The sequence below is a fragment of the Homo sapiens genome, chromosome 14, assembly GCF_000001405.40.
Source record: "Homo sapiens chromosome 14, GRCh38.p14 Primary Assembly".
In the NCBI taxonomy this organism is placed as follows: Eukaryota; Metazoa; Chordata; class Mammalia; order Primates; family Hominidae; genus Homo; species Homo sapiens.
Window position 1 is genome coordinate 64,675,101 of NC_000014.9, and position 6,082 is coordinate 64,681,182.

Sequence of the window (6,082 nt, forward strand, 5' to 3'; positions counted from 1 at the left end):
CGGCTCACTGCAACCTCCGCCTCTCAGGTTTGGGAGGCCGAGGTGGGTAGATCACCTGAGGTTGGGAGTTCAAGACCAGCCTGACCAACATGCAGAAACCCTGTCTCTACTAAAAATACAAAAATTAGCTGGGCATGGTGGCGCATGCCTGTAATCCCAGCCACTCAGGAGGCTGAGGCAGGAGAATCGCTTTATTAAGTTTTATTTAGTTAGTTTTATTAAGTTAGTTCAGCCTCTTCTTGGATAAAATTTCAGCCAAGTCCCTGCCTGGACTGTCACCTCCTCTCTGGGTGTGTCCCCTTCCTGCCTCTCCCGCTCCCAGCCCCACCCTGTGGATAACTCTGGGTGCAGGGCTCTGTGTTGCCCTCTGGTCCTCAGTGGCCTTTACATCTGCTGACATCCACAGTCAGGGGTCTGGCTGGGAGGACCTGGTGGTTTACCCGGCTTGTGGGTCCTGTGCCAGCTTTGCTGGTCCTGTAGATACAAACCGGAACCCCTCCCATGTCCCCAGTGCTTTCCATTTATCTCTGGGCTTCAGCCTGAGGCAGGTCCACAGGCTCTCAGCTCTCAATCACCTGTGCATTCCCTAGGGCCTCCTAGGGACTTCTGGGTTTCTCCCAGCCGCACTCAAGCCAAGGGGAACTGAGGTGGGGCAGTGTGAAAGGGGTGGAACACCTAAGGTCCCTGTCCCAGCTTCAACACACCTTGCTGTTGTCTCTACTTTGCTGGAGCCACTCCAGGTGGACATAAGGACATGCTGGAAGGCGACTGACTGCTCCAGGGCTCCAATCAAAAAGTGGGGCACGGCCGGGTGCGCCTGTAATCCCAGCACTTTGGGAGGCCGAGGCGGGTGGATCCCTTGAGGTCAGGAGTTTGAGACCAGCCTGGCCAACATGGTGAAACCCTGTCTCTACTAAAAATACAAAAATTAGCTGGGCGTGATGGCACACGCCTGTAATCCCAGCTACTCAGGAGGCTGAGGCAGGAGAATTGCTTGAACCTGGGAGGTGGAGGTTGCAGTGAGCCGAGATCATGCCACTGCACTCTAGCTGGGGTGACAGAGTGAGCGAGACTCCAACTCAAAAAAAAAAGTGGGGCACACATGGTTTTTTGGAGTGGGGAGGGACAGGGTCTCACTCTGTTACACAGTCTGGAGTGCAGTGGCACAATCATGGCTCACTGCAGCCTCAACTTCTGGGCTCAGGCAATCCTTCAGGCTCAGCCTCCCAAGTAGCTGAGACCACAGGTATAAGCCACCACACCCAGCTAATTTTTTTATTCCTAGTAGAGATGAGGTCTCACTATGTTGCCCAGACTGGTCTTGAACTCCTGGGCTCAAGCAGTCCTCCTACCTTGGCCTCCCAAATTGCTGGGATTACAGGCCTGAGCCACCACACCTAGCAACATATGTCATTTTTGTCTCTGACATGCTCTTGACCTCTGTGGAGTTTTTCTACTGTTGTACATGCCACCGACAAGGTTTGACAAGGGTGAGAGAGCACTGGCATCTGATGTCCATCCCCACTTACCCGCTTTCAAGCTCCAGAGGGTTCACACTTCCTCTTTCTGTTTTTCAGAGACTTCCTTTCCCTCATATTTTCCCTCTTCCCTGCCCTGTGGATTTTTCTAGAAAGGTATCTACCTTTCTCCTTCCCTAGGACACAAGCCCTGTGGTGCAATGACAGCATATGGCTTACTGATAATGAAAATGGTTTTGAAAGTGGTTCAAAACAGTATCTCCATTACTGTAGGGTTTTAAGAATAAGATAGTCATGTTTTTGTTTTGCCTTTTTTTTTTTCCTTAAGACAGGGTCTTGCTCTGTCGCCCAGGCTGGAATGCAATGGTGCAATCATGGCTCACTGTAGCCTCAACCTCCTGGGCTCAAATAATCCTCCCACCTAGCCTCCTGAGTAGCTGGGACTACAGGCATGTGCCACCATGCCAGGCTAATTTTTCTATTTTTTGTAGAGATGGGGTTTCACCATGTTGCCCAGGCTGGTGTCCAACCCCTGGGCTCAAACAATCCTCCCACATCGGCCTCTTGAATTGCTGGGATTACAGGTGTGAGCCACCACACCTAGCCAAGGTAATCATTTCTAAATGCCCTTTAAAATAATACAAGTTTTCTAAACTAGAGGAGTTTCATCCATTCAGACATACAACACACATTTGATTATCTTTTCCCCCAAGCCTTTCATCCTTTTGTGTTTCTAATCCACCCAGGCACCACTGTCAGAAATTGGGACCCCTTGTTTTATTTGACTTCTGCCCCCACTCTGTCACTGTACATTCTTCCTCTTTAAATGAGAACAATTTTTATCTCTGCATTCTCTCCCATGCCCACTGCTACTGCCTTAGTGGAGTCCCTCAGTCTTTCTGGCTTTTGGAATGATTTTCTGATTGACCCCCGAAGTTGCCACTGCTCATCCTTCTTGCCACTGGTGTGGTTTCCAAACATGTCAGACTGCCGATCCTCTGTAGGTCCCTGTGCCGGTGTGATGTGGCCCCTGCCCATCTCTGAAGACTTGACTCCTTCTCCTTTACATGCAGCCTCTGCCCCAGCCACACCACATGACTTGCAGGGGCCTAGTGTGCTGTGCTGGTCCACAGCTCTGTGCCTTTGTGCATGCTGTTCCTCCTGTTCCAATGTCCCTCATCACCTTCTTATAATTTGACATACAGCACAGAGATCTCCTTCTCCCTGGGGCCTTTCTGATCCCTCCCAGCAAGAATGCTGTGCTTTGGGTTAGCATGGTCTCAGCTTGCCTCCATTAGGATGCTTGTCACATGGAATTGTGTCACAGTGCTAGGCTGTGAGCTCCTCGGAGCCAGCGATAGGCACTAGTAACCTCAGTTTCCCCAGCATTTAGCACAATGCCTGACTCAAGCCAGCCCATTGAATGAATAACGACAAGCACTAGCCCTGGAGCTAGTCAAGACCTTGAAGATCACTGGGTTCCAACTTTCCAGAGAGTCTCAGAGAAGTTAAGTGACTCACTCAACCTCACACAGCTAATTGGTGACAAAACTAGATCTGGGCCAGGCACGGCGGCTCATGCCTGTAATCCCAGCACTTTGGGAGGTCGAGGTGGAAAGATCCCCAGAGGTCAGGAGCTTGAGACCAGCGTGGCCAACATGGTGAAACCCCATCTCTACTAAAACTACAAGAATTAGCCGGGCGTGGTGGCGAGCGCCTGTAGTCCCAGCTACTTGGGAGGCTGAGGCAGGAGAATCACTTGAACCTAGGAGGTGCAGGTTGCAGTGGGCTGAGATAGCACCAGTGCTCTCCAGCCTGGGCAACAGAATGAGGCTCTGTTTCAAAACAAACAGGCCAGGCATGGTGGCTCACGCCTGTAATCCCAGCACTTTGGGAGGCCGAGGCGGGTGGATCACCTGAGGTTGTGAGTTCGTGACCAGCCTGACCAATATGGAGAAACCCCGTCTCTACTAAAAATACAAAAGTAGCCCGGCGTGGTGGCACATGCCTGTAATCCCAGCTATTCGGGAGGCTGAGGCAGGAGAATCACTTGAACCTGGGAGGCGGAGGTTGTGGTGAGCCAAGATTGAGCCATTGCACTCCAGCCTGGGCAACAAGAGCAAAACTCCGTCTTAAAAAACAAAACAAAACAAAACAAACAAACATACAAAAAACCACACACACACACAAACTAGACCTGGTCCTTTGACTCGAAGTGCACAGCTCTTTCTACCACTCTGACCTCTAGACACAAGAGAGGGATGAGGTAGGTAGGGGGAGTGGTGGGGAACCAGGCTGTGGGCAGGGGATGATGAGAAGACACCAGAGGCAGAAACTTAACTCAGAGCTGATTGAACTTTTTCTCAAGCTGGAAAATGGGTCAACTCCACAAAGGATTCTTTTTGTCAAACCCTGTTCCTCTCACCTATGCCATTGGGATGATGCAGTCTATGTCAACAGCAGCTGACACCTGAAGTTACAATAACAATGGCGTGGAATCAATTTCAATAAAAGCCTTGCTTCTTTTTACTGCTGATTTGTTTGAAGCCCAGACAATTCATCTAGCCTGATTACACGAGGGTTCTCACAGAGATTTTATTGCTTCATTTCCTTTTCTTTTCTTTCCTTTTCTTTTCTTTCTTTTTCTTTCTCTCTCTCTCTCTTTTTTTTTTTTTTTGACAGAGTCCCACTCTGTCACCCAGACTGGAGTGCAGTGGAGCGATCTAGGCTGACTGCAACCTCCACCTCCCAGGTTCAAGCAATTCTCCTGCCTCAGCCTCCCGAGCAGCCAGGACTACAGGCACGTGCCACCATGCCCAGCTAATTTTTGTATTTTTAGTAGAGACGGGGTTTCGCTATGTTGGCCAGGCTGGTCTTGAACTCCTGACCTCAGGGGATCTCCCACCTTGGCCTCCCAAAGTGTTGGGATTACAGGCGTGAGCCACCACACCCAGCCACTTTGTTTCTTTAAAAACAAAATTTGTATGTTGTGACTTTAAAAGTAGCTGTGCTAAATAAATCCTCATCTCATTCCCTCCTGGAGACTCAGTGTGGGGTGGCAGAAAGAGCACTGGGGTCACACGGACCCAGGGCTGAATCTTGGCTCTGAGGCTGGCTAATGGCACAACCGAGGGCAAGTCATTTAACTGCGCTGAGCCTGAGCTTTGCGTTTTTAAGAATGGAGGTCGTGATACTCTTCCCGGTGGTTGTTCTGGAAATGAAGATGGGCCCTAGAGAAGTAGCCAGCAGAGCGGGGAAAGCCTGGTTCTGGAGCCAGAATACCTGGGCACCTGGGTTTGAATTCCACTCCTTGCCAGATGAGTGACCTCAGACAGGTTACAAACCCTCTCTGTGTCGTAGCTTCCTTCACTAGTGTGTGGGGTACTTGGACAATGCCTGGCACATAGTCAACATCACCTTAGTGTAAGCTGGAGAAAACATGCAACATGGTGCCAGGCACTAAACACACACGAGTTCCTTTCTTCTTCCCCTCCCAGAGGAGCCCAATTCTGTGCGTCCCTCTGGTGGATACACAGGACCTTAGCCTAGGCTCTTCAGCCTAACCCTGTAGCAATTTATGATACTTCTGAAGAAATCAAGTCCTCCCTTTTCTCTGTACATCCAATGATGAGTAAACTCTCACTTGTCACTGTAGTCACCACGTTTTCACTCTCTCTGGCCCCTTAAATGGAGCCACAGTCCTAGCAGGCCTGTGCTTATACCTCCAGCCCTCATGCTTATATCCCAGGAAGCATGAGTGAAAGCCTAGCCCAGGGACAGGGCAGCGTGATCTCCTGCCCGGCTTGACTCACGGTGATTTGTTCAGCTCTGTGGCCTGGGCCCTGGCTCCCGAAGCCTCCCTGGGGCCTGTTTGGACCTGTTCTTTCTCAGGTTCATTAGTCCCAGCTCACTAGCTAGACTCTCAACTCTGCATGCCAGCCCCAGTCACTTTCCCCATTCTGACACGCCCGTTTGCTCTCAGAGGCCCCAGCCCCCAGCCCTGGAACTGGTAGAGGGAGGCAGCCTGGGCCAGAGGCCAGGGGCCAGACTCTGAATCTAGAAAAGGAGCCAGAGTCTTGTGATGCTGAAAACCAAGACAGCGAAAATCTGTGGGTCCTGCTTCTGTGTCTTATAGAAACCCTTCTGGCTGTAGCAGTTCCAGGCCCAGGATCTGGATCTCAGAAATAAAAGAGACATTAGAACTCATCTGGGCTGGCTCTTCCCTTATCTGAAGCAAGAGGCCACACTGTAGCATCCCAGGCAGGGTGTCCTCCAGGCCCTGAGTGAAGTGCCCTGTAATGGAGAACTCACTGCCTTTCCACCCCGCCCACACCATGGCTATACCCGTGTCTAGAAATTCGGCTTCTGGAACTCTGACCCAGTGCTAGCTGAGGCAGGAGGATTGCTTGAGCTCAGGAGTTTGAGATCAGCATGGGCAACCTAGTGAAATCCTGTCTCTTTTTTTTTTTTTTTCTTTTTTTGTGAGACAGGGTCTCATTCTGTCGCCCGGGCTAGGGTGCAGTGGCCCGCTCACTACTCACTGCAACCTCCCCTTCCTGGGCTCAAGTGGTCCTATCGCCTCAGCCTCTGGAGTAGCTGGGACC

At 50.9% G+C, this 6,082-nt stretch overlaps 3 annotated features.

The window, feature by feature from the left end:
- Positions 286–786: an enhancer, noted in NCBI's record as "H3K4me1 hESC enhancer chr14:65142104-65142604 (GRCh37/hg19 assembly coordinates)". NCBI's record gives its function as "activates a minimal SCP1, AML or CMV promoter by ChIP-STARR-seq in primed H9 embryonic stem cells {active_cell/tissue: H9 hESC(primed)}" and the evidence as "EXISTENCE:reporter gene assay evidence [ECO:0000049][PMID:30033119]".
- Positions 787–1,287: an enhancer, noted in NCBI's record as "H3K4me1 hESC enhancer chr14:65142605-65143105 (GRCh37/hg19 assembly coordinates)". NCBI's record gives its function as "activates a minimal SCP1, AML or CMV promoter by ChIP-STARR-seq in primed H9 embryonic stem cells {active_cell/tissue: H9 hESC(primed)}" and the evidence as "EXISTENCE:reporter gene assay evidence [ECO:0000049][PMID:30033119]".
- Positions 4,864–5,408: an enhancer, noted in NCBI's record as "H3K27ac-H3K4me1 hESC enhancer chr14:65146682-65147226 (GRCh37/hg19 assembly coordinates)". NCBI's record gives its function as "activates a minimal SCP1, AML or CMV promoter by ChIP-STARR-seq in primed H9 embryonic stem cells {active_cell/tissue: H9 hESC(primed)}" and the evidence as "EXISTENCE:reporter gene assay evidence [ECO:0000049][PMID:30033119]".